This window comes from Homo sapiens, chromosome 7, assembly GCF_000001405.40.
Source record: "Homo sapiens chromosome 7, GRCh38.p14 Primary Assembly".
NCBI lineage: Eukaryota > Metazoa > Chordata > Mammalia > Primates > Hominidae > Homo > Homo sapiens.
In genome coordinates, this window is record NC_000007.14 from 2,381,023 (window position 1) to 2,407,873 (window position 26,851).

At 53.9% G+C, this 26,851-nt stretch overlaps 1 protein-coding gene and 2 pseudogenes across 15 annotated transcripts in view, besides 7 other annotated features; 2 read left to right on the plus strand and 1 right to left on the minus strand.

Annotated features, from left to right (window-relative positions):
• KIF19BP (kinesin family member 19B, pseudogene) lies at window positions 960-11,253 on the plus strand (annotated as a pseudogene).
• Window positions 8,428-9,324: an enhancer, noted in NCBI's record as "NANOG-H3K27ac-H3K4me1 hESC enhancer chr7:2429085-2429981 (GRCh37/hg19 assembly coordinates)". NCBI's record gives its function as "activates a minimal SCP1, AML or CMV promoter by ChIP-STARR-seq in primed H9 embryonic stem cells {active_cell/tissue: H9 hESC(primed)}" and the evidence as "EXISTENCE:reporter gene assay evidence [ECO:0000049][PMID:30033119]".
• Window positions 12,076-13,164, minus strand: NGRNP3 (NGRN pseudogene 3; annotated as a pseudogene).
• Window positions 18,881-19,568: a transcriptional cis regulatory region, noted in NCBI's record as "candidate enhancer chr7.493 targeted for multiplex CRISPR interference". NCBI's record gives its function as "positively regulates CHST12 gene expression with high confidence in K562 cells {active_cell/tissue: K562}" and the evidence as "EXISTENCE:mutant phenotype evidence [ECO:0000015][PMID:30612741]".
• Window positions 22,066-22,165: an enhancer, noted in NCBI's record as "active region_25528". NCBI's record gives its function as "activates an Ori minimal core promoter by ATAC-STARR-seq in GM12878 lymphoblastoid cells {active_cell/tissue: GM12878}" and the evidence as "EXISTENCE:reporter gene assay evidence [ECO:0000049][PMID:35858748]".
• Window positions 22,256-22,625: a silencer, noted in NCBI's record as "silent region_17870". NCBI's record gives its function as "represses an Ori minimal core promoter by ATAC-STARR-seq in GM12878 lymphoblastoid cells {active_cell/tissue: GM12878}" and the evidence as "EXISTENCE:reporter gene assay evidence [ECO:0000049][PMID:35858748]".
• Window positions 22,426-26,851, plus strand: part of CHST12 (carbohydrate sulfotransferase 12) — a 45,037-nt gene continuing 40,611 nt past the window's right edge. For 9 of the 15 annotated variants that reach the window (XR_007060074.1, XR_007060066.1, XR_007060067.1 and 6 more), the window contains exon 1: window positions 22,589-22,623. Coding sequence is in view for 1 of the 15 variants with exons in the window: in XM_047420571.1 (XP_047276527.1) it covers window positions 24,009-24,078 (70 nt within the window). In the remaining 14 variants the exon portion in view is untranslated. Of the gene's footprint in view, window positions 22,529-22,588; window positions 24,079-26,851 lie in introns of those variants that run through there. The other 6 variants (XM_011515444.3, XR_007060070.1, NM_018641.5 and 3 more) reach the window with 6 other exon arrangements.
• Window positions 22,716-22,885: a silencer, noted in NCBI's record as "silent region_17871". NCBI's record gives its function as "represses an Ori minimal core promoter by ATAC-STARR-seq in GM12878 lymphoblastoid cells {active_cell/tissue: GM12878}" and the evidence as "EXISTENCE:reporter gene assay evidence [ECO:0000049][PMID:35858748]".
• Window positions 24,986-25,105: an enhancer, noted in NCBI's record as "active region_25529". NCBI's record gives its function as "activates an Ori minimal core promoter by ATAC-STARR-seq in GM12878 lymphoblastoid cells {active_cell/tissue: GM12878}" and the evidence as "EXISTENCE:reporter gene assay evidence [ECO:0000049][PMID:35858748]".
• Window positions 25,956-26,075: an enhancer, noted in NCBI's record as "active region_25530". NCBI's record gives its function as "activates an Ori minimal core promoter by ATAC-STARR-seq in GM12878 lymphoblastoid cells {active_cell/tissue: GM12878}" and the evidence as "EXISTENCE:reporter gene assay evidence [ECO:0000049][PMID:35858748]".

Below are 26,851 nucleotides of genomic sequence, written 5' to 3' on the forward strand. Positions count from 1 at the left end.
GAATGGTCAGTTCTGCCCGTTTTTTCATTTTGAGATGGAGTCTCGCACTATCACTCGGGTTGGAGTACAGTGGCGCAATCTTGGCTCACTGCAACCTCCGCCTCCCGGGTTCAAGCGATGCTCCTGCCTCAGCCTCCTGAGTAGCTAGGACGACGCATGTGCCACCACGCCCAGCTAATTTTTTGTACTTTTAGTAGAGACAGAGTTTCACCATGTTGGCCAGCCTGATCTCAAACTCCTGATGTGGTTTACCCGCCTTGGCCTTCCACAGTGCTGGAATTACAGGAGTGAGCCACCGTGCCCGGCCAGTTCTGAACTTGTTTCCTGTTGGGAAGGGAGCCCACAAATTGGGGTAATTTCAGCCCCTCCTGTTGACAGGGTGTCACTTCCCACTGGCACCTGTGACCCTGCAGTTTCATCCACCTCTTTTCAACTCCTCAAACCTGAGGCAGCCCTCAGAACTCACAGCCAAGGGCCATTTACAAACCTAAGGCAACGTTTGGAGACTGGGAGGGGCTGTAATTCACAGGGCAGAGGACCCGGGCTCCTGCCACCCTGGAGGAGTGGCCTAGAGCCTCAGGTCACACTGGGTCTCCCAGGTGTGAGGAGGGCGCCTTGGTGCGTTTGCTTTTTTGGGAGCCCTACATTTCTCTCATCTGCGATTCTACAGTTCTAGAATTGTCGCAGTCCTGCCGTTCATCCTGTGTCCCTCCAGTGCACATTTTATTAGTAATTCTTGTTTATACTCTTGCTGCTTAAATTCTAGTGTGCCGAGAAAGTTTTTCTGATTTCATCGAAAGAAGAAAGGCACACAGTTCTACCATATGACAGATTTTTAACAGATATTCTAAAAAAAATTAACTTTCCACTGTTTTAAATGTACTAGTTGTCATTGTTTCATATAATTCGTAAAGGATTTCTGAAGCCCTTGCGTTGGTTTTAACTTTGCTACGGTAGACATGGATCTCCCAGAGCCGGCCTGCTGTGGAGGGACTTCCTGGGTATCAGGGTCCCCACGGCTGGCGGGCTCAGGACATCGGGGGGGGGGGGTGTTTGGGACCCCTGCTGCAGGCATGGCCTTGGTTGTGTTTCAGGAGGCTGAGGCAGGCAAGAACGCGGGGACTTGTAAACGTGTTCCCGGCAAGTGCCGTGGTCAGACGCTGGAGCCTCATCCTCCTAGAGGACAGGGATGTGGTTGTTGGAGGGGTAGCCGAATCCACCTGGCTGGGGTTTCCTGCTGCACAGTGTTGACCCGGATGCCAAGAAAGAGATGGATGTGGCCAAAAACATGCCCTGGCCTTGCACAGCTGAGCTGCCAGGCAGTCGGCTTATGGGAAAGGCATGGTGGCTCTTGGGAGGGCTTGAGTCGCCCACTCTGGCGGGAATGGACCCCCGGGCCCTTTCAGCTCCGTGGTTGGCATCATGAAGTTGGACTTGGCCAGGCTTGAACAGCTTGGATCCGATTTTAATGTGATTTCTTTACTTTTTTTTTTTTTTTTTTTTTCTGTCAAGACAAGGTCTTGCTCTGTTGCCCAGGCTGGAGTGCAATGGCGTGATCTCGGCTCACTGCAACCTCCACCTCCCGGGTTCAAGCAATTCTGCCTCAGCCTCCCGAGTAGCTGGGATTACAGGCGTGTGCCACGCCCGGCCTGGCTTTGGCGTGATCTCTGTCAGTGCAGGAGCGGGTTTCTGTGCTTGGCACCGACCCTGGCTCTGGGCAGTGTCGTCCTGCACTCTGGTTAGCTCAGCCTGGACGGGTCAGGTGACCTTGGGGAGCAGGTTCACGGTGCGGTGCCTTTCCCCGGGCTTGCAGTGGAAAAGGAGCACAGCCTTTAGGTGTTGAATACACCTGAGAGCCAATCAAGCGCTTACTGGGAAAGGGGAGGAGACGTGGTCGCGGGCCGGGCGCGGGTGGCTCACGCCTGTAATCCCAGCACTTTGGGAGGCCAAGGCGGGCAGATCACCTGAGGTCAGGAGTTCGAGACCAGCCTGGCCAACATGGTGAAACCCCATCTCTACTAAAAATACAAAAATGAGCCACAAAATTGTGGCAGGTGCCTGTAATCCCAGCTACTCGGGAGGCTGAGGCAGGAGAATTGCTTGAACCCAGGAAGCAGAGGTTGCAGTGAGCCAAGATTGTACCACTGCACTCCGGCCTGGGTGACAAGAAAAAAAAAAAGAAACATAGTCGCCGTTGGAAACGGCAGTTGCAGTCGAAGTTGCTCAAGTTGCTGTGTGAAGTTTCAGCTGCTGCCATTTGTCTGCTTCAAGGGAAAAGCTCCAGGGCCATCCTGGTTTCTGTGTGAGGGGCCCTGAGGTGGGCAGCGCCTCTCCTGGGCTCAAGGTGGTAGAGGGACCCACCCTGCAAAGAAGAGGGGCAGCCCCTCCACCTGTGTCCTGGTGGGTGTCAGGCTGGCTCATGTGCACCGGGTGAGGCACATGGAAACCGGGGGTTGCCATAGTGAGGGTGGAGATAGAGGCTGCTGTAGCGTCTGGCGCTGTCCCTGTGTGCCAAGGTGATCGAGAGGGCCACCCTGCTCCTTGAGGCCCCAACCACATGAGTGGTGCCAGCCCGGCTCCCCAAGGCCCAGCTGATGTCACCTAGGCAGAGCAGAGCGGGGCTGAGCGCAGGCAGGTCTCATCTCTGCTGTGATAGGGAGCGCATCCCGCTGCCCATACCCTCCTGCCAGGCTGCAGGTCCCTCCCCGGCCCGGGGCAGCCCGGCGTTGAGAGATGGAGCCCAAAGACCAGCCACTAATGGTGAGCGCCCTCCCTCGTGTTCCCGCCCCCCCAGTCTGCGAGTGCCCGACGCCGCCTCCCAAGCCTGCAACCCCGGCGACCCCTCTGCTCTGTTATCAGCCCGGTCTACTCCCCAACTTTCCCTCGCTGGGAGCTAGCTGCCCCGCTCTTCCCCACTGCCTCCGCACCCCCGCCTTGAGCCTCCAGACACCCTCTCCACCCCTAATCCCCATGCTGCTGGCACCTGGGTGTGCGGGCTCTGGGCTCCCCAGCCCCCTCCCTGGGCCCAATCCAGGCCATCTGCTGGGGGACTCAGAGCCTCCGCCAACTGGACAGCGGTGAGCTGAGCTGGGGACTTGCCCCAGGGCTGTAGCTGGGTAAAAAGAGATGCCAGTCATGACTGTCCCTCAGCCACAGCTGCTGTTTCTACCAAAAAATGTGTCCCTTTTATAGAGGGGGAAACAAGCGTCCTGGGGCCACAGTTACTATCCAGCTGGGTGGGTTTGAGGCCGGGATCTGGCCCTCAGAATAGGGAGTGGGGATGGCAAGGCCCCCAGTTTCCCCTTGGGGAAGTTTCCCATGAAGGAGCTCAGCATCTCTTCTGGAGGTGGCAGGACTGGGAGGCAAGGCCTTGGGCAGGCGCTCCCTGCTGTGTGCCTCAACCTCCCCATCTCCTCAGTGAGGGAGGCCATGTCTTGTTGGGGGCACGGGCAGCCCCGTGGGAGTGAAGTCAGAGCCCACCCTGAGGGGCACGGGGCTGAGCTGCTGCCTTCACCTCTTCACAGAGACTGAGCAGATCCCAGAGCAGCCGCCCTGGTGACTGCCTGCAGGTGGCACTTCGAATCCACCCGCTCAATGACGCAGAACTGAAGGAGGGAGCCGCGGTCATCGCCCACAAAGTGGGGGACCAGGTGAGGCTGGGGCTCAGGGGGCTCCCTGCTGTCACAAGCTCACAGATGGGGCTCTGTCCTGGAGGTGTGGCTAAGACTGACACCATGCCCACCCCACTGGGCCCAGTTTCTAGTCAGGGTTCGGGGCACACAAAGGGAGAGATGAGTGCCACCAGGAGAATACAGCAGAGCCCGTGGGGGTGGGCAAAGTCAGGGCAGGGGAGCAGGCTGGAGCCCCCCAGCAGGAGCATGTGGCAGGGCCACAGAGCAGGGAGGGGGCTGGGAGGAGGGCAGAGCCTTCAGCAGGCCTGGCTCTGAAATTGTGTGGCTGGAAAGGGCCTGGGTGGCTGCAGCTCAGCAGGGAAGGGCGCCAGCATGCTGTCCAGCACGGGGATCTCTGCCACTTTGAAGCAGGCTCAGAAGCCAAGCTGTTGCCACAGGTTAGGGATGTCTATGGCCTCGGTGGTCACTCATAAGAAGAAATGCCCAGTGTGGGGTGGAACTCAGTGTCGCCAAGTGGATCAGGTTTTCCCGTTCGTCATTAGAGAGGCAGCTTCATAAGGAAGGAGACATGGCCCCTGGGAGTCATGTGCACTCAGGGGCAGGGGACCCTGGGTGTGTCAGAGGGAGCTCCCCGCTGGGCAGGGGGGCACCAGTCCTGGTCCCAGGTCAGGAGGCTCAGGGCATCGTCTGCAAGAAGATGAAATGGACGGCCGGGCGCGGTGGCTCACGCCTGTAATCCCAGCACTTTGGGAGGCCGAGGCGGGCGGATCACGAGGTCAGGAGATCGAGACCATCCTGGCTAACACGGTGAAACCCCGTCTCTACTAAAAATACAAAAAATTAGCCGGGCGAGGTGGCGGGCGCCTGTAGTCCCAGCTACTCGGGAGGCTGAGGCAGGAGAATGGCGTGAACCCCAGGGGGCGGAGCCTGCAGTGAGCCGAGATTGCGCCACTGCACTCCAGCCTGGGCGACAGCGAGACTCCGTCTCAAAAAAAAAAATAAAATAAAATAAAAAAAAAAAAGAAGATGAAATGGACCAGGCGCGGTGGCTCATGCCTGTAATCCCAGCACTTTGGGAGGCTGAGGTGGGTGGATCACGAGGTCAGGAGATCGAGACCATCCTGGCTAACACGGTGAAACCCCGTCTCTACTAAAAATAAAAAAGATTGGGTGGGCATGGTGGCAGGTGCCTGTAGTCTCAGCTACTCAGGAGGCTGAGGCAGGAGAATGGCATGAACCCGGGAGATGGAGCTTGCAGTGAGCCGAGATTGCGCCGCTGCACTCCAGCCTGGGTGACAGAGCGAGACTCCGTCTCAAAAAAAAAAAAAAAAAAAAGAACAACAAAAAAAAAGAAGATGAAATGGACAGAAGATCAGGTGCACAGACATCCCCAGGGGGAGTGGACTGCAGAGGGGGCAGGTGAATCAGTGCTGAGTTCACGGAAAAGCAAACGAAAAAACCAGACAGGCGTTTAATTCGAGGGGAGACAGGCTCTGCAGGAAAGGACATGGCAGAGGGGGTCGAGACCCAAGGAATCAGCTGAGAGAGTGGGGACAAGTAGGGTGGGAGAGGACGGTGGCTTCATAGGATCTTTGCAGAGGTCCTTATCCTTTGCATGATGCACCTGCATCATGGATAAAAAGAATGGAAGTTGGCCAGGTGCAGTGACTCACACCTGTAATCCGAGCACTTTGGGAGGCTGAGGCTGGTGAGTCACTGGGGTTAGGAGTTCGAGACCAGCCTGACCAACATGGAGAAACCTCGTCTCTACTAAAAATACAAAATTAGCCAGGTGTGGTGGTGCACGCCTGTAGTCCCAGCTACTTGGGAGGCTCAGGCAGGAGAATCACTTGATCCCAGGAGGCGGAGGTTGCAGTGAGCTGAGATTGTGCCATTGCACTCCAGCCTGGACAACAAGAGTGAAACTCCATCAGGAAGGGAGGGAGGGAGGGAGGGAGGGAATGGAACTCACAAGAAAGAACAGAGTTTTGCTCTTGTTGCCCAGGCTGGAGTGCAGTGGCGTGATCTTGGCTCACTGAAACCTCTGCCTCACGGTTCAAGCGATTCTCCTGCCTCAGCCTCTTGAGTAGCTGGGATTAACAGGCATCTGCCACCACGCCCTGCTAATTTTTGTATTTTTAGTAGAGACGGGGTTTCCCTGTGTTGGCCGGGCTGGTCTTGAATTCGTGACCTCAAATGTTCCTCCTGCCTTGGCCTCCCCAAGTGCTAGGATTACAGGCATGAGCCTCCGTGCCCAACAAAGCCTGCTTTCTTAACTACCAGTGCCCTCCTGCTTCCTGTCAGATTCCTCCTGCAGCCCAGGCCTGGCCGATGGCTGGCACACGCAGTGGGGCTGTGTGTACAGGAGCTGCCCCAAGTCATCCTGTCTTTTGATTGTCTTCATCTTTGGAAGGAGAAAAACATAAAGAAAAGGGAGTTAGTTCACTTAGGTAGTGGAAAAGTGCTGGCTAGAAGCCAGGAAGCCCCAGGGACCCAGCCCCAGCCCTGCCACTGACTCCCGAGAACCAGTGGCTGGCCCTGGTCTCCTGGGATCTCAGTTTACAAATTTGTGAGCCAGCGTGGGGTGGGGTGGGCTGTCCGATGGTGGGGTGCTTGGTCCCACCCATTGGTGCCTCCCTAGACCCCGTGGCTCCTCTCGGCCACTGGGGTCCCCAAGATCCTCCCGGCCAGGGAACTGCTTGCTGGATTAACCAGCTGAGGGCGAATGTGGTTTCTAATTGTCCTGTGTCCCCCTCCCAATTCTCTGGGAAAGGCTCCTTTGAACCTATCTGTCCCCAGGGACCCGCATACACTTTGCATCATAATTAGGTATTTATACGAGATGGTCCTGGGGGCGACCCGGCGCTCAGAGAGACAAACAGCAGGGCTGGTGATCTTGGCTGGATCGTCCAGGCTGGAGTGCTGCGATGCGATTACAGCTCACTGCAGCCTTGAACTGCTGGGCTCAAGCAGTCCTCCTGCCTCAGCCTCTGATGTAGCTGGGACCACAGGCATGCACCACCATGCTCGGCTAATTTAATTTTTTTTTTTTTTTTTTTTTTTGAGATGGAGTCTCGCTCTGTCGCCCAGGCTGGAGTGCAATGGAACAATCTCAGCTCACTGCAAGTTCCACCTCCTGGGTTCAAGCGATTCTCCTGCCTCAGCATCCTGAGTAGCTGGGATTATAGGTGCCCGCTACCACACCCGGCTAATTTTTTGTATTTTTAGTAGAGATGGGGTTTCGCCATGTTGGCCAGGCTGGTCTCGAACTCCCGACCTCAGGTGATCCACCCGCCTTGGCCTCCCAGACTGCTGGGATTACAGGTGTTATTCACTGTACCCGGCTCGGTCCTTTGTTCTCCCGTTTCCTGTGTATGGTTCAGCCCCAGTGAGCCACAGGAGACAGGGCCAGGAGCGGAAACACTCAGGGTCACTCGCAGAAACCCTGCGCACAGCAGCCAGGCGCCAGCTCAGCACTTCCCATCTCCTTCCCATCCCCGCCCTGTGGGTTCATCAAAGGAACCTGGGCCCTGAGGGAGGCTGGTGGGTGCTGGGCCGCTGTCCTCGATGTGTTTTGACCAAGGCAGCGTTTCCCAGTGTGGGTGCTGGGCTGCAGAGCCCAGCAGGCCTGGGGGGGCTTCCTGCTGTGCTTTGAGGGTGCAATAGCGGTAAATGCTGCTCCTCAGAAGCAAGTGGAGAGGGTGCCGGGCCGGGGGGTGGGTGCAGGCCCCCAACTCTGCTCCTGGCTCAACCACAGAGGCCCACAGCCCTTTCCAGACCCGGACCAAGCCTCTTGGAGGGGTCCAGGGTGGGTGCCAGGCCTGGGGTCCATCCAGGGTGCAGACCCTGCCCTATCCTGACCAGCCTGGTCGGCTCGTTGCTTGCAGATGGTGATGCTCATGGACCCCAGCGAGGACCCCGAGGACGTGGCGCGAACACGCCGGTCCCGGGAGCGGACCTTCATCTTCGACAGGGTGTTTGGCCAGCATGCGTCTCAGGTCTCCACCTGCCCCTGCCATCCCTGCGTCCTCCTGTGGGGCTGGAGTCCCCTGGTGAGGACATGGTGGCCGGGCAGTCTCGGCCCCGTCTTCTCACAGGGGTCTCCCTGAGGACAAGGAGACTGTGCAGAAAGCCCAGGGGTGGCAGGAGGAGACCCTTTCACAGAAAGCCCATCCCAGGGGTGGCAGCAAGAGACCCTTTCACAGAAAGCCCATCCCAGGGGCTCCAGGAGGAGACCCTTTCACAGCCCATCCCAGGGGTTCCAGGAGGAGGAGACCATTTCACAGAAAGCCCATCTCAGGGGTTCCAGGAGGAGGAGACCCTTTCACAGAAAGCCCATCCCAGGGGTTCCAGGAGGAGGAGACCATTTCACAGAAAGCCCATCCCAGGGGCAGGCAGGGGGAGACCCTTTCACAGAAAGCCCATCCCAGGGGTGGCAGGAGGAGACCCTTTCACAGAAAGCCCATCCCAGGGGTTCCAGGAGGAGATCCTTTCACAGAAAGCCCATGCCAGGGGTTCCAGGAGGAGACCCTTTCACAGAAAGCCCATCCCAGGGGTGGCAGGAGGAGACCCTTTCACAGAAAGCCCATCCCAGGGGTTCCAGGAGGAGGAGACCGTTTCACAGAAAGCCCATCCCAGGGGCAGGCAGGGGGAGACCCTTTCACAGAAAGCCCGTCCCAGGGGTGGCAGGAGGAGACCCTTTCACAGAAAGCCCATCCCAGGGGTTCCAGGAGGAGACCCTTTCACAGAAAGTGAAGGGGTGGGTTGCCCCTCCACACCTGTGGGTGTTTCTCGTTAGGTGGAACGAGAGACTTGGAAAAGAAAAAGACACAGAGACAAAGTATAGAGAAAGAAATAAGGGGACCCAGGGAACCAGCGTTCAGCATATGGAGGGTCCACACCGGCCTCTGAGTTCCATTAGTATTTATTGATCATTTTTGGGTGTTTCTCAGAGGGGGATGTGGCAGGGTCATAAGATAATAGTGGAGAGAAGGTCAGCAGATAAACAGGTGAACAAAGGTCTCTGCATCATAGACAAGGTAAAGAATTAAGTGCTGTGCTTTAGATATGCATACACATAAACATCTCAGTGGCTTACAGAGCAGTATTGCTGCCCACATGTCCCACCTCCAGCCCTAAGGCGATTTTTCCCTATCTCAGTAGATGGAACATACAATCGGGTTTTATACGGAGACATTCCATTGCCCAGGGACGGGCAGGAGACAGATGCCTTCCTCTTGTCTCAACTGCAAGAGGCATTCCTTCCTCTTATACTAATCCTCCTCAGCACAGACCCTTTACGGGTGTCGGGCTGGGGGACGGTCAGGTCTTTCCCTTCCCAGGAGGCCATATCTCAGACTATCACATGGGGAGAAACCTTGGACAATACCTGGCTTTCCTAGGCAGAGGTCCCTGCGGCCTTCAGCAGTGTTTGTGTCCCTGGGTACTTGAGATTAGGGAGTGGTGATGACTCTTAACGAGCATGCTGCCTTCAAGCATCTGTTTAACAAAGCACATCCTGCACTGCCCTTAATCCATTTAACCCTGAGTGGACACAGCACATGTTTCAGAGAGCAAAGGGTTGGGGGTAAGGTTATAGATTAACAGCATCCCAAGGCAGAAGAATTTTTCTTAGTACAGAACAAAATGGAGTCTCCCATGTCTACTTCTTTCTACACAGACACAGTAACAATCTGATCTCTCTTTCTTTTCCCCACAGAAAGCCCATCCCAGGGGTTCCAGGAGGAGACCCTGTCACAGAAAGTCCATCCCAGGAGTTCCAGGAGGAGACCCTTTCACAGAAAGCCCATCCCAGGGGCAGGCAGGAGGAGACCCTTTCACAGTGCAGTGGCCGCCAGGTTGCGGCTTTGCACGGGCTCTTTCATTCATGTACTCAGCCCTTCATTCCACAAAGTGGCCCTGTGTTCCGTGGGGCTGGAGCACAGCCCTGCCTACACGCCCACATCCTGGCAGGGGGGCCGACCAAATGGAGAAGCAGGCGCGTTGTGAGCACATGTGGTGTCAGCGAGAGCCTGCGGAGGGGCTGGACACTAGACCCGGGGGAGGAGAGAGCCAGAGGGACAAGGATCTGGGCAGAGGCTTCATCGTGCCTGTTTCACAGAAGAAGCACCCTACAAGAGGTCGCATGGTGAGGCCCGGAGCTGAGCATTTGGACCCAGAGTCAGATCACACTCCCTCCTAGTCCTCCATGCCAACACCCTCTACTAGGGACAAACGCTGTCAACACGTCACCTGACCCCCACCTGGAGGGGGGCCACAGAGGGGAGCCAGGACCCAGGGATGGGTGATGGAGTGAGGGGCACCCCCCGCTGAGTGGGGCAGGTGGGATTTGAATCCTGGCCTCCTGAACTAGGAGCGACGGACCATCACCAGGGTGAGCAGTTGGGAGATGTTTGGCCCCAAGACAAAGCCCAACGGAGGATTTCATGCTCTCTCCAGGCCCTGCAGCCAAGTGACTTCCCTTCCTGTGATGAAGGGTAAAATCAGGGCTCCCCATGTCCTCTGCACCCTACCTTTAACTTCTTTTTTTTTTTTTTTTTTGAGACAGGGTCTCATTCCATCACCCAGACTGGAGTGCAGTGGTGCTATCTTGGCTCACTGCAACCTCCACCTCCCTGGTTCAAGCAATTCTCCTGCCTCAGCCTCCCGACTAGCTGGGATTACAGGTGCCTGCCACCACACCTGGCTGATTTTTGTATTTTCAGTAAAGATGCGGTTTCACCGCGTTGGCCAGGCTGGTCTTGAACTCCTGACCTCAAGCGATCAGTCTGCCTCAGCCTCCCCAAGTGCCAGGATTACAGATGTGAGCCACTGTGCCTGGCCCCCACCTTTAACTTCTGAGAAGCCATGGGCCCCAGTTGTGCACAGCTGTCCCCTAGTGATCAAAGACGGTTGCAGAACAAATCACTCCAAAGCCAAGTGGCTTAGAACTACCATTGATAATTGTCTTGCACAGTTCTGCGGGCTGACAGGGACCTGCTGGGCAGATTCCCACCCGGCTGCAATCTGATGTCAGGGGGCTGCAGTCATCCGGGCCACATGTCCACGGTGGTCCGTTCACATGACTCTCCGTGGATGCTGGAGATGGCTTGGAGTTCCACTGGGGCTGTCGATGTGAGAACGTACAGGTGTCTCCTCTGTGTGGCTTGAGCCTCCTCAAAGCATGGCAGCCTGGGGGCTCCAAGAGGGCCAGGTGGAAGCCGCCAGGCCTCTTGGAGACATGGCCTTGCATCTGCCACCCTTTGCTGACCAAGCCAGTCCTCAGCCTGGCCAGGTTCAAGGGGAGGAGAATGAGACTCAGCTTCCCAGTGGAGCTGTGGCCATCGTTAACCTACCACCCAAGTCCTCTCGTCTTCCCACTGGAGCCTGGCTGCTGAATTCACATGGAGAGCTTCTCGGGAAGAATGCTAAGTGCAGGAAACAGGACTGCTTAGAACACCTGGGCCACCTGTTGGCACCTGAAGCTCATCCCTGGATTCAGGAGATAGAGGATTCGCTCACAACGGCAGCTCCAGCTGCTGTCTCAGAAAACAGCTTCTCCCACTCTCCAGATCTGAACGGCATGGAAAGTTACAGGGGCTCAATCGTTGACATTTGTTAAGGCCAAGTGCGGTGGCTCACGCCTGTAGTCCCCACACATTCCGAGGCCAAGGCAGGAGGATCACCTGAGCCCAGGAGTTTGAGATCAGCCCAGATGACATAGAGAGATTTCATCTGTACAAAGAAAGATTTTTTTTAATTAGCTGGGCATTGTGGCACATGCCTGTAAGTCCCAGCTACTTGGGAAGCTGAGATGGGAGGATCTCTTGAGCCCAGGAATACAAGGCCTGATCGTGCCACTGCACTCCAGCCTCAGTAACAGAGCAAGACCCTGTCTCAACACAGAACAAAAACACACTTACGCCACGTGGCGGGGAGGTGAACTGTTTTCTCCACCTATAGACTAAGAAAACGGGGGCTGGGCGCGGTGGCTCACGCCTGTGATCCCAGCACTTTGGGAGGCCAAAGCAGGAAGATGGTTTGAGGCCAGGAGTTTGAGACCAGCCTGGGTAACATGGTAAAACGCCTGTCTCTACCAAAAATTTAAAAATTAGCCAGGCATAGTCCAGCTACTCAGGAGGCTGAGGTGGGAGGATCACTTGAGCCCGGGAGGTGGAGGTTGCAGTGCGCTGAGATTGCATCACTGCACTCCAGCCAGGGTGACAGAGCAAGACCCTCTCTCCAAAAAAAAAAAAAAAAAAAGTTAATGGACAAACCTTTTAAAATCTTTTTAATTTTAAAGACTATACATTCATTGTAATGTGTATTAAAAAGATATAATGAAGCCATCAGACACTGAAGTTCATCAATAATTTAAATGAGGCTAAACTTAAAAAATGAGTTTCTTCTTTTTTTCCTGTTTATTTATTTATTTATTTATTTTGACTGCTACATTTTCCTTTATTTTGCTTGTAAGGAAAACCAATCGACTAAGTTGTCCCAAAACTGTTAGTGTTCACTGATCAAGAAGGAAATGAGGTCAGAAGGCAAACTTTTCACTTCCTCTCAAACATATATTGCAAGTATCGGCCCGGCACTGTGGCTCACGCCTGTAATCCCAGCACTTTGGGAGGCCGAGACGTGCAGATCACGAGGTCAGGAGATCGAGACTGTCCTGGCTAACATGGTGAAACCCTGGCTCTACTAAAAATACAAAAAATTAGCTGGACATGGTGGTGTATGCCTGTAATCCTAGCTACTCGGGAGGCTGAGGCAGGAGAATCACTTGAACTGGGGAGTCAGAGGTTGCAGTGAGCTGGGATTGTGCCACTGCACTCCAGCCTGGCAACAGAGAGAGACTCTGTCTCAAAAAACAAAACAAAACAAAAAAACAACATATATTGCAAATATCACAGAGAATTGTAACAACACATGCAACACAGGCTGGTTTTCAACATACAGAGAGCCCATGCAAGAAGAAGTGAGTGCTGAAGATCTACAGAGCTCAGACTGGGAGCACTTTTGCAGGAAGTTTGAATCTATCCACGCAGCTCTTTCCTCCCACAGTCCAGGCTCATCACTTATTTCTATTCCAAGGGGGCTTATCTATACGCAGAAATCCAGGCCGCTCCATATATATTAATACTTGCCCAGCTGTGTTTCACGAGGCATCTCCACGTGCCAAGCCCCGACTCAGATTCTGCACGGGAAGTTCCCGCTGCTGTCAAAGAACTCTCGGCCCCTCTGCACTACTTTGCTGCTGAAGTGACCTGGCTCCTCTGCCTTCAACTCCTCCAGCTTCTGCTCACTTGGCAACGCAGCATCGCCGGTTCTTCTGGTGCTCTCAGAATCACTGGAGTACTTCTGCAGCTCTCTCTGATGACCTAGGGGTGCAGCAGCAGGCACAAAGCTCTCCTCCGGGTCCTGGACTTCTTTATTTCTTCCCTTCCATCTCCTTGGTGTATTTGTCCTGTGAGTGACTCTATCATTTTCTTCTTCTTTTTTTTTTTTTAGATGGAGTCTCGCTCTGTCACCCAGGCTGGAGTGCAGTGGTGTGATCTCAGCTCACTGCAGGCTCCGCCTCCCGGGTTCACGCCATTCTCCTGCCTCAGCCTCCCGAGTAGCTGGGACTATAGGCACCCGCCACCACGCCTGGCTAATTTTTTGTATTTTTTTTTAGTAGAGATGGGGTTTTATCTTGTTAGCCAGGATGGTCTCAATCTCCTGACCTCGTGATCTGCCTGCCTCGGCCTCCCAAAGTGCTGGGATTCCAGGTGTGAGCCACCGCGCCCGGCCAAGCCCTCTTCTCTTTGATGGCAAGGGCAACCTGGCCATGTTGCCAGCTTAGAGCTGCTCTATACACCCAGAAAGCTAACACCTAGAACAATAACTGCCCTAAGCATGCCGAACTCTCTAAACCGATGATGAAGTACGTCACTAGTGAAGGGAGCAGTGGTCTCAGGGGATCTGAACACCTGACACTGTGCCCCTAACAATGGGTAAGAAGGAGTAACAGTGGCAGGATGCCGGGCGCCAAGGGGGTGCGGTCTGGGGCACCGGGACTCAAGGCTCTGCTTCAAGCTGAGGCCTGGGGAGAAGCCGGTACCTCTCCACCTTCTGCAGCTCCCATTCCTCCGGCAGGAATCGGGGTCCTGCTCCCAGCCGATAGGGCCTGGGCCCGCTATCCCACAGGGCGCCAACCTGCAGCGAGGGACAGCAGCGCAAACACACCCGCCCAGCAAGAGACTCACGGTAACCGCCATGTCGACGCAAACCAGCCTTCAGCAGTCCGCTACCCTTTTTTGATTTTTTTTTTTTTTTTTTTTTAAGACAAGAGTCTCCTTCTGTTGCCCAGGCTGGAGTGCAATCTTGGCTCACTGCAGCCTCTACCTCTCAGGTTCAAGCGATTCTCCTGCCTCAGCCTCCAGAGTAGCTGGGATTACAGGCACTCACCACCACGCCTGGCTAATTTTTTGTATTTTTGGTAGAGACGGAGTTTCACCATGTTGTCCAGGTGGGTCTTGAACTCCTGACCCCAAGTGATCCACCTGCCTCGGCCGCCCAAAGTGCTGAGATTACAGGTATGAGCCACCATACCTGGCCAAAAAATGAGTTTCTGTAAAGAAAAAAATTAACTCCATAATAGTCCAGACAGTCCTGGGATAAAGTAACCATTGTAGGTGTGATTTGGGGGGCCTGGACTGCGGGACACGTGGCCTCCCCTTAGGGGCTGAGTTTGGTTGCCAATAACAGAAAATCCCCACGACAGTGGCTTAAATAAGATAGGGCTTATTTTTCTCTCATGCAGCAACAAGTCTGGGGGTGGAGCTGCGTAATGTCCTCCCCAAGGTCGTCAGGGACCCAGGCTCCTCTGGGTTTCTCTGTCTTGCCCTCTGCATTGGTCAGCATTCTCCAGGGAAACAGAACCAATAGGATGGATGGATGGATGGATAGATCGATAGATGGCTAGATCGACAGGTTGATAGATGGATAGATGGATAGATAGATATACATAGATCGATAGCTGGCTAGATCGACAGGTTGATAGATGGATAGATAGATACATAGATCAATAGCTGGCTAGATCGACAGATTGATGGATAGATAGATAGATACATAGATGGATAGATGGCTGGATCGACAGATTGATAGATGGATGGATGGATAGATAGATACATAGATGATAGATGGGATGGGAGATGACTTCAAGAGGTTCATGTTGGCTGGTATAGTGGCTCACGCCTGTAACCCCAGCACTTTGGGAGGCTAAGGCAGGAGGATCACTTGAGGTCAGGAGTTCGAGGTTTGAGACCAGCCCGGCCAACATGGTGAAACCCCATCTCTACTAAAAATATAAAAATTATCTGGGCGTGGGGGTGGGTGCCTGTAATCCCAGCTACTCGGGAGGCTGAGGCAGGAGAATCACTTGAACCCTGGAGGCGGAGGTTGCAGTGAGCCGAGATTGTGCCACTGCACTCCAGCCTGGCCACACAGCGAGACTCTGTCGCAAAAAACAAACAAACAAAACAAAACAAAAAAAAGCATCCTCTGTTGCGACTATCAATACAACCAGGGTTCTGTTAATGAGGAAGGATAGGAGAATGGGTATTGGGCGAGCACGCAGAAGTCTCAGCCACCCTCCCCTTGTCACGGATGGCAAAGCTGAGGCCCAGAGAGGGATCCAATGTTCTGGCTCAAACACCAGCTCACAGCTTCCGAAAAATCAGGATGTGTGGCCCCTCTCATGCTGCCTCACCTTCCCCGGTCTCCTCCCAGGTTCCCGTCCCACCGCTCCTTGCAGAGCCAGGCAGATCACAGGACCTTTCAGAGATGCTCAGGGCACTCTGCCAGCTGCCTTCATGTTTCCCAGCTCTGCTGTGCTGATGCCTTTGTCTACGCCATCCCTTTCTGTCCCCTGCCCGTGCCTGGAAGACCCCGCAAACTCCAACTGACCGTAACCCTATCCGTCCTGCGGGAGAAGGTCCTTTCTGCTCTGGGCTTCTGCAGGGATGTAACCTCATCCCTAAAATAGGAGTGATGGCTGGGAGTGTGGCTCACACCTGTAATCCCATGGGAGGCTGAGGCGGGAGGCTTTCAGTCTTTGGTTGTTGTTTGTTGTTGTTGAGACAGGGTCTCATTCTGTCACCCGGGCTGGAGTGCAGTAGTGCAATTATGGCTCACTACATCCTTGACCTCCTGGGCTCGAGCAATCCTCCCACATCAGCCTCCTGAGTGGCTGGGGCTACAGGTGTGCTACCACATCTGGCTCATTTTTTCATTTTTATTTTTGTAGAGATAAGGTCTCACTCTATCGCCCAGGCTGGAGGGCAGTGGCATGGTCATAGCTCACCCCAGCCTTGAACTCTTGGGCTCAAGCAATCTCTCACCTCAGCCTCCCAAGTAGCTGGGTCTACAGGCATGCACCACCACATCTGGCTTTTTTTTTTTTTTTTTTTTTTTTTTTTGAGACAGAGTTTCACTCTTGTCACCCAGGCTGGAGTGCAATGGCATGATCTCAGCTCACTGTGACCTCTGCTTCCTGGCTTCAAGCTATTCTCTTGCCTCAGCCTCCAGAGTAGCTGGAATTACAGGCGTGCGCCACCACGCCCAGCTAATTTTTGTATTTTTGGTATAGATAGGGTTTTACCATGTTGGCCAGGCTGGTCTCAAACTCCTGACCTCAGGTGATCCACCCACCTCGGCCTCCCAAAGTGCTGGGATTACAGGCATGAGCCACTGCACTGTTGTTTTGTTTTTTTTTTTGTTTTTTTTTTTTTTTTAAGAAACATGGTCTCTCCCTGTAGTCCAGGCTGGAGTGCAGTGGTGCAGTCATAGAGCTCACTGCAGCCTCCAACTCTTGGACTCATGGGATCCTTCCACCTCAGTCTTCTGAGTAGCTGGGATTACAGGCATGCACTAACATGTCCAGCTAATATATATAATTTTTTTTCGCTCTGTCGCCCACACTGGAGTGCAGTGGCGCAATCTCGGCTCACTGCAAGCTCTGCCTCCTGGGTTCACGCCATTCTCCTGCCTCAGCCTCCCCATAGCTGGGATTACAGGCGTCCGCCACCACACCCGGCTACTTTTTTGTACTTTTAGTAGAGATGGGGTTTCACCGTGTTAACCAGGATGGTCTCGATCTCGGGACCTTGTGATCCGCCCGCCTTGGCCTCCCAAATTGCTGGGATTACAGGTGTGAACCACTGCACCTGGCCTATTTATTATTATTATTTTTTTTTTTTTGAGATGGAGTCTCACACTGTTGCCCAGGCTGGAGTGCAATGGTGCAATCTTGGCTCACTGCAACCTCTGCCTCTCAGGTTCAAGCAATTTTCCTGCCTCAGCCTCCTGAGTAGCTGGGATTACAGGCACTTGCCACCATGCCCAGCTAATTTTTTGTATTTGTAGTACAGACGGGGTTTCACTATGTTGTCCAGGCTGGTCTCGAACTCCTGACCTCAGGTGATCTGCCTGCCTCAGCCTCCCAAAGTGTTAGGATTACAGGCGTGAGCCACCACTCCCAGTCTCCTCTGGGTTCAAGACACAAACATCCAGTGGTCTCCTGACAAGTGTGATGTCCTGTGGGTGTCTCTACTCAGCACATACAACACCAAGTTCACAAAGTTTGCTCCCCAAAACCGTTCTCCTCTGTGGTCTCCTATCTCTCATGTGGTACCACCATCCACTCCACTGGCTGCCCAGCAATCGGGGTATCACCCCAACTCCTCTCCCTTCCTCCTTCAGCTGATCCCCACACCTGCCCTATCCATTCTAGCTGCCGTCTCCCCACTATCTATCAGCTTGGTCCTCTTCCTGTACCACTGCATAAACCTAAGTCACCATCACCTCCATTGGGGCCACAGCGGCACCTGCAGCCCCTCTCTGGGTGCAAACCTGGTAGGTGCTAGCAGTTTGCACATCTCTGTTCCATGCATGGCCATGGCAGTGAGAGGGGCAATTATTTCAAGCATTATGCAGAGAAAGAAATGGAAGTCCAAGGTCATGCAGTGGCTGAGTAACAGCCTCAGCACCCAGCCCTGGGTTCCTACCACCTCCCTCTTACCTGACACTGCCCAAAAGAATGCAGTGAAGAAAGACAGGGGGCCTGGCACGGTGGCTCGTGCCTGTAATCCCAGCACTTTGGGAGGCCAAGGCGGGTGGATCATGAGATCAGGAGATCAAGACCATCTTGGCTAACATGGTGAAACCCTATCTCTACTAAAAAAACAAAAAACTTAGCTGGGTGTGGTGGCGGGCGCCTGTAGTCTCAGCTACTCGGGAGGCTGAGGCAGGAGAATGGTGTTAACCTGGGAGGTGGAGCTTGCAGTGAGCCGAGATGGTGCCACTGCTCTCCAGCCTGGGTGCCAGAGTGAGACTCCGTCTCAAAAAAAAAAAAAAAAAAAAAAGAAAGAAAGACAGGGATGGGGTGGGGAGGAGTGAGCTCACAGTGAATTAGGAGGGCTCCTCAGTCCATTCTCTTGGATTTATTTTATTATTTTATTTTATTGTTTTTGTACAGACAGGGCCTCACCTTGTTACCCAGGCTGGTCTGGAACTCCTGAGTGCAAATGATCCTCCTGCCTTGGCCTCCCAAAGAGCTGGGATCATAGGTGTGAGCCATCGTGCCTGGCCCTCTTGGATTTGCTTTTCTTTTCTTTTTTTGAGACAGAGTCTCACTCTGTTGCCCAGGCTGGAGTGCAGTGGCATGATCTCGGCTCACTGCAACCTTCACCTTCCGGGTGCAAGTGATTCTCCTGCCTCAGCCTCCCAAGTAGCTGGGATTACAGATGCCTGCCACCACACCTGGCTAATTTTTGTATTTTTAGTAGAGATGGGGTTTCACCATGTTGGCCAGGCTGGTCTTCAACTCCTGACCTCAGGTGATCTGCCCGCCTCAGCCTCCCAAAGTTCTAGGATTATAGGTGTGAGCCACTGTGCCTGGCCCCTCTTGGATTTTCATATCATCTACATGGTTAATTGAATTTTCAATTCACAGACCTTGTTTTGTTTTGTTTTCATATCCTGTTAATGATGCTTATATGGATCCCAGGGCCAGAGGTCATCAGGATCTCCCCGCAGCAGCGTGGCCAACGTAGCGAGACCTCCATCTCTACAAAAAAACTAAAGAAATTAGCAAGGCATGGTGGTGTGCACCTGTAGTCCCAGCTACTCAGGGAGTTGAGCCCAGGAGGCTGAGGCTATAGTAAGCCATGATGGCACCATTGCACACTCCAGCTTGGGTGACAGAGCAAGACCTTGTCTCTAAAAAAAGAAAAAAAGAAAAAGAAAAAAAAACAAACAAACCAAAAACAAAAAAACCTCCCGGAATTCCATAGCTGTTACTATCAGTAGCAGCTAATGTTTCCTGGCTGGCCTCTTGCCCAGAAGCCACAGTTACCGCTTTTCCTTTGTTGCAACCCTGGCTATGAAACCAGAAATAGTTGTTGCTGGTAGAGACACTGAAATACCTCAAAGTAAAACCCAGAGGTTGGGCCAGGCTGTGGTCAGCTCCGGGGAGACCACAGACTTTGCAGAGGGGCCCAGGGTCCCTGAAGATGGGTGGCAGCCAATGGAGCTGCTGGGGAGGGGGATGGGCAGCCAGCCAGAAGGAGCCTGGAGCCTAGAAGAGGAGGAGATAAAAATCATCACAGTGAGGTGTCTCCAGGGCCGAGCTGAGGCCCTGGCCCAGGAAGTCTCAAGGCTGTAGCGTGGCTCCATCTTTGGGGTCCACAATTTGGATTCAGGTCCTGGCTCTGTCACTTACACAGCTCTGTGTCTCTGGCTAGTTGGTTACCTTCTCTGGTCCCCTGCTTCCTTATCTGTAAACCAGGAGATAAGGTATAGCCACTGCAGAGTGGGTAAGTAAAATGTATCTGCATGTTGCTGATGTAAGAGGCGAAGTTGCCATAAAGTAAAAGTAACCATTTGAAAGTGAACAATTCAGGAGCATTTAGTGCATTCGCAATGCTGCTGACGTAAGAGGTGAAATTAACATAACATAAAAGTAACCATTTTATTTATTTTTATTTTTTTATTATTATTTTTTTGAGACGGAGTCTCGCTCTGTCGCCCAGGCTGGAGTGCAGTGACACGATCTGGGCTCACTGCAAGCTCTCCCTCCCAGGTTCACGGATTCTCCTGCCTCAGCCTCCTGAGTAGCTGGGACTACAGGCGCCTGCCACTATGCCCAGCTAATTTTTTGTATTTTTAGTAGAGATGGGGTTTCTCTGCGTTAGCCAGGATGGTCTCCATCTCCTGACCTCGTGATCAGCCCGCCTCGGCCTCCCAAAGTGCTGGGACTACAGGCGTGAGCCACCGCTCCGGGCAGAAAGTAACCATTTTAAAATGAACAATTCAGGGGTCTTTAGTGTATTCAAAATGTTGCTGATGTAAGAGGTGAAGTTGACATAACACAAAAGTAACCATTTTACTTATTTATTTATTTATTTATTATTTTTGAGACAGAGTCTCACTCTGTCACCCAGGCTGGGGTGCAGTGGCATGATCTCCGCTTCCAGCCTCCACCTCTCAGGTTTTTTGTTTGTTTGTCTGAGACGGAGTCTCACTTTGTTGCCCAGGCTACAGTTCACTGGCGCGGTCTCGGCTCACTGCAACCTCCAGCCCCTGCGTTCAAGCGATTCTCCTGCCTCAGCCTCCTAACTGGGATTACAGGTGCCTGCCACCACACCCGGCTAATTTTTTGTATTTTTAGTAGAGACAGGGTTTCATCATGTGTTGGCCAGGCTGGTCTCGAATTCCTGATCTCGTGATCTGCCCGCCTACACCTCCCAAAGCACTGGGATCACAGGCGTGAGCCAACAAGCCCAGCTGACCTCTCAGGCTTAAGCGATTCTCCCACCTCAGCCTCCTGAGTGGCTGGGATTGCAGGCGCCCGCCACCAAGCCTGGCTAATTTTTGTATTTTTATTTTTAGTAGAGACAGGTTTCACCACGTTGGCCAGGCTGGTCTTGAACTCCTGACCTCAAGTGATCCACCCACTTCGGCCTCCCACAGTGCTGGGATTACAGGTGTGAGCCACTGCACACGGCTGATAGTGAGAAATTTCTAAGCTGAGACAGGCATCACAGGGTGACATTGCCAGAGGCTGTCACCTTATTTACATACGTGCAATTGCATATATGTATGTATACAACATAGACATATTATACATGCATAATACAGGTCTATATGTATGTGTACAATATATAAACATATATACTACATACATACACATAGGTAACATGTATGCATTACACATACGTATAAACATATTATCTACTGTGAGTGTGTATATAATATACACATATATTTTGTGGTGGTTGTTTGTTGCTTTTCCCCCCCACTAGAATACAGGAGGGCAGGGGCCTTGCCCGTCTCCCTCACTTCCACATTTCCAGGGCCCGGTGGGTTCGGAACTCCTTTGGGACTGGCTGCAGGGAGTGGAAGAGTGAAGAGATGACCTTGGTTGGAAGGCTGCCTCGGGAGTCCATCGGAGGGGGCCAACTAAAAATATCACGGATTGAAAAAGTTCTTGGGGTGGATGGTGGGGATGTGAAAGTGCTTAATGCCACTGCAGGGAGTGCTTAAAAATGGTTAAGATGGGCCGGGCGCGGCGGCTCACGCCTGTAATCCCAGCACTTTGGGAGGCCGAGGCGGGCGGATCACGAGGTCAGGAGTTCGAGACCATCCTGGCTAACACGGTGAAACCCCGTCTCTACTAAAAATACAAAAAATTAGCCGGGCGTGGTGGCGGGCGCCTGTAAGTCCCAGCTACCCGGGAGGCTGAGGCAGGAGAATGGCGTGAACCCGGGAGGCGGAGCTTGCAGTGAGCCGAGATCGGGCCACTGTATTCCAGCCTGGGCGACAGAGCGAGACTCTGTCTCAACAACAACAACAACGACAACAACAACAACAACAACAACAACAAAGGTTAAGATGGTAAATTTTATGTTCTATATATTTTACCATAATTTAAAAAAAAAATGACTGGGCCTGGCGCGGTGGCTCACGCCTGTAATCCCAGAGCTCTGGGAGGCTGAGGCAGGAGGATTGCTTGAGTCTAGGGGTTCAAGACCACCCTGGGCAACATAGTGAGACCCCCGTTTCTATTAAAAATTAAAAATTAGCCGGGTGTGGTGGCACCTGTCTGTAGTTCCATCTACTTGGGAGGCTGAGGTGGGAGGATGGCTTGAACCCAGGAGGTCGAGGCTGCAGTGAGCTGTGACTGCACCGCTGCACCCCATCCTGGACGACACGGTGAGATCCTGTCTCTAAAAAAATAAACAAACAAACACACAAAACTACATTGATGCCAAGAACAATTACTGCATGCTCACTATGCATTAGGCATCTTGCTAAGCTCTTTACCCGTGTCATCTCGTTTGTCTCACATACTCCCTGAAAGGTAGGGTCACTAACCTATTATATTTTACGGATTGGCGACAACCTCAGAGAGGTTAAGTCACTTGCCCAAGGTCACACAGCGAGTCTCAAGCCCCAGCCGGTGAGCATCACGATCCTTTGCCAATGAGCCGATGCTCGAGAAAGGGTCGGATAGACAACAGGCACTGCATAAAGGTTGGTTAACGGGATCGTGTTTGGCTGCAACGTGGAGCTCCCGGGTCGAACGGCGAGACAGCTGCGCGTCCCCGAGCCGCCGCGCGCCCGGTCCGCCGGGGCGGAGTCAACGCCGCGGATTGGCTGCTGAGAAAGGGGCGTGGCTCGTGGCGGCCGGTGGGCGGAGTCGATCTCTGGCCGTAAATACGGCGCCACATGGCACTGGCTCGCGAGGGCGGGGGCGGGCGGGCTGGCCGGGCGCAGGCGCGCTGAGGGCGGGCGCCCCTCGGCCTCCGTGGCCCCTCCGGCGGCCGCGACGTCTCGCGAGAAGACGACCGGTAGGAGGGGCTCCTGCGCCGGGGGCGGGGCCGGCGAGGGCTGCCTCTGGGGGGTCCGCTAGTCGCGGGGCGGCGGCGGCGGCTGCGGGCGCGAGGTGAGGGGCGCGAGGTGAGGGTCGCGAGGTGAGGGGCGCGGCGGGCGGCGGGCTCGGGGCGCGGTCTCCCTCTCTCTCGGCCAGTGCTGGGCTCCCAGGGCCCGGGCGGGGGTCCCGGGCCGCGCTGAGGGGCGCGGGTCGGCTCTCCTTAACCTGGCCTGGCGGGCGCGGCTTGGGCCTGGGTTCGAGTTCCCGCGCCGGCGCGCAGTGTGACCTTGGCCCTGCGCGCGCCCTCTCTGAGCCCCGCTCGTCGTCCTCGGCCAGGGGGACCCAGCCCTGGGGCCCTGATCAGCGCGTTCTGCGGCTCCTCGGGGTCTGGACGAGAAATCTGTGGTTCTGATTCAGCGACAGCAGAGGCTGCAGCGGCCCCGCCGGCCCCCAGGAGTCCCCCTGCCCGGCATCAGCCTCTGCCGCCCGGCAGGGGTAGGACCAATTCCCGGGCTTGGAGTTCCAGGATCCCCAGCTCCCGAGGGCCCCCGTGTGCCTGCTGTCACCTGAACGGGGCTCCCCGGCCCCGCCGACCGCAGCCCTGGAGCCTGCAGACGCCAGCAGCACCGGCAGGTCGCTCAGGGTATCCCTTAAATGACCTCTCACTCCAGAAGCCGCAGCCCTGCCCCTCTGGGAGAGGAAACCGTGCATTTAGTCCGGGAACAGTGGGACTTAGACCTCCTCTGCGGGCTCCCGGCCACCGAGACACCGCCGGCAAAGCCTTGGCTCGGGCAGAGGCTCCGTCTGGCAGGCAGCACAACAAGCCATAGTGTTTCCAGCATTATTAAATTATTTAGTTCATAAGCGGGGCTGTGGGGACTCGGAAGCCCCGGGGTGAATAGGAATGTGAGTTGCAGGCGCGGTGCTGGACGCAGTACATCTTCCAGGACACCAGGCCCTACGGTGCTGTTCCCGGCTGTGGGTGGTTGGGGACAGCTCAGCGGGTCCCCCACTTACCCCCACGCGGGGACCCGGGTTAGCCCCTCACCGTGAGCATCTGGTGTTGGGAGTCAGGGCTGGTGTCTGAGTGAGGATGGAGAGAAAACAGGGGTAATGAGGAGATTGCTACACGAAGGTGCAACGCTTGAGATCTGAAAGAGCACCTGCCTGGAATGGCATAGATGTTTGATTTCCCTGCAAAGGAGTTTATGGGACTTTGGGCTGACGCTTTGGGGCCAGCAGTAACTGTCTGCTGTCACTCAGCTGACTCCAGCTTTATTATCAAACCTCCAATCGAGTGCAAGATGCTAAGCTGGGGTAGATGCCGGTAATAGCGTGGGCCTTGCCCTGGGAGCTCACGGCCAGCCTGGCTACAACTGTGTGGAGTTGAGACTGTGGTGCAGGCGTTAACAGAATGTGGCGACATTTTCCGACATTTTCCACAGTGGAGAGGACCTATGAATTGGGGCGTTTGGAGGCAAAGGGCATGCAGAGATGTGGAAGTGAAAGTGATGTTTGGGGGAGATGGTGGGTCGCCGTGTTCTTGATGAAGTGGGGTTTGAGGATTGGGTTGGAAGCTAAGACTGGAAGGCCGGGCGAGGTGGCTCGTGACTGTAATCCCAGCACTTTGGGAGGCAGAGGCGGGCGGATCACCTGAGGTCAGGAGTCCGAGACCAGCCTGGCCAACATGGTGAAACCCCATCTCTACTAAAAATACAAAATTTAGCTGGGCGTGGTGGTGCACACCTGAAGTCCCAGCTACTTAGGAGGATGAGTCAAGAGAATAGCTTGAACCTGGAGGCGGAAGTTGCAGTGAGCCGACACTGGGCCTCTGCACTCCAGCCTGGGCAACAGAGTAAAAAAAAGACTGGAAAGATGGGTTTCTGATTGTGCAGGGGCCTGAATGCTGTGTGAGGGAGTTTAAACTTTTATCCCTTTGGTGGTGGTTTGGGTGCGACGCGATTAGATGTGTTTCAGAAAAGTGGTCGTGGTGAGAATATGGGAGGTGGGTTTTGCCTCTGGGCAGTGGAGCTGAGTTGAGTAGCCTTGTGGGGCGTGGGTCTGGGGCAGTGAGAGAGTGGGGGCGGGCATGGAGCTGAAAGATGTTGCCAAATCCACTGGGCGGTGGCGCTTTGTGAGATGTGGCGACCTGTAACAGCGAGGGCAGCCGGGACTTCTCACCTGCGATGAGGAGCGCTGCGGCCAGGTGGGAGAGGAAGGGCCACACAAACACACGTGGGTTTTAGACCTGCAGAGTTGGCGGTATTGGTGGCCATCCTGGAGGAGATGTGACCTGGTGGAGAAGAGACAGCCTGTACAAGGAGGGAATCCCCAGGAACCCCAGTGGGAAGGGATCCAGAGCTGAAGAGAGGCCCGTTGGTTGGCTGACCTTGGGCGTGCAGTTCCTTGACTACGCACAGTCATTGAGGCTGGCAGGTGATTCTCTTCTAGTGTGGGTCAGGGGCTGAAGGAGCCATCAGTGGGAAAAGACGGGTTATTGATGATACTGAAACACATGCGGCTTGTTTGTCATTTAAAAAAACCGTACATCTTGAGTTTCGATTCTTAAGTTGTCTTTCTTTTCGGAGAGTAGCTGTTAGTTTCACACTTGCTTAGTGGGTCTGTGGCTGCAGGCGGGACTGTGGTTCTCCAGCCCTGGCCCACAGATGTGCCTGGAGATAATTGACTCTCCAACTTATTACTTCCTGCTGTTAAGGTGGTGGTTTCTGTAACTGTTTAGAAACTTTAAAGATATTTCAGAGAAGAATGGGAGACAGGTACAGTTGAGTACGGGGTGGGGGCACAGTTGAGTATGGGGTGGGGGCACAGTTGAGTACGGGGTGGGGGAACAGTTGAGTATGGGGTGGGGGCACAGTTGAGTACGGGGTGGGGGCACAGTTGAGTACGGGGTGGGGGCACAGTTGAGTACGGGGTGGGGGCGCGGTTGAGTATGGGGTGGGGGCGCAGTGCTGAACAGGGCACAGGAGGAGGAAGCGAACAGGGACCCTTTGGCTCCCAGAACATGACCAGCTGGGGCTTTTCCCTGTAGACAGGAGGATGGATGTGTCTTTGGGGAATCTGAGTAGCCCAAGAGAAAAGACCTAAAATTAATGACATCAGGAGGTCCCCAGTCAGCAGACCCAGCTGGATCCCTTGCTAACGAAGCCCGTCATTAATAACCCCCTCCCAGTGTTCAAGGCATCAAGCTTTAAAAATCCCCATCCCTTAAATATGAGCAGATAACCAAGGGCATCTGAAGAAAACCTCTGCTACAGGAGATTGAGACCAGAATACACACTGGGAAACCAGAGAGCGTGCAGGAAGGAGCCTTAGAAAGCAGGCTGTCATTAATGTCCACGCGGAGGTGAGCGAAAATATCGCGAACATGAGGCAAGAACAGGAAGCTCTAAAAAAAAGCCACCAAAAGGAGTATTCGAATATCCAAAAAGAGAACTCTCGGATGTAAAAAAAAAAAATAAAAGCAGAAATAAGAAAATCAGTTAGTGGGTGAAAGATAAAGTTGAGGAACTCCCTCAGAAAGTAGAACAGAAAAGCAACGAGGTGGCAAATGAGAGAAAAAAGAAACGGAAAGGATCAGATCAGGAAGTCAGCAGCTGAATAGTAAGAGCTTCAAAGCTGAGGTGAGAGGATCGTTTGAGGCCAGGAGTTCAAGACCAGCCTGGGCAACATAGCAAGACCCCCATCTCTACAACAAAATTTAAAAATTAGCCAGGTGTGGTGGTGTGCACCTGTAGTCCCAGCTACTTGGGAGGCTGAGGTGGGAGGATCACTTGAGCCCAGGAGTTTGAGGCTGCAGTGAGCTGTGATCATGCCACTGCCATCCAGCCTGGGTGACAGAGCAAGACCCCATCTCTAAAAAATAAAATAAAATACATTTTAAAAAGTTTCCAGAAGAAAAAAATAGGGAAAACAGGATGAAATTCACAAAATAATTTCCTAGAACCCAAACTTTCTGGGTTAAAGAGGCTCACCCAGTGGCCAGTACCACGGGTGAAAATGCAGGTATCCTTCACTTTCATAGCCTCTTCACTTCTCAGCTTGGATATTAAAAGCTTGGGAAGGCTGGGTGTGGTGGCTCATGCCTGTAATCCCAGCAATTTAGGAGGTAGGTGAATCACTGAGGTCAGGAGTTCGAGACCAGCCTGGCCATCATGATGAAACCCCATCTCTACTAAAAATACAAAAATTAGCCAAGCATGGTGGTGGGTGCCTGTAATCCCATACTCAGGAGGCTGAGGCAGGAGAATTGCTTGAACCCAGGAGGCGGGGGTTGCTGTGA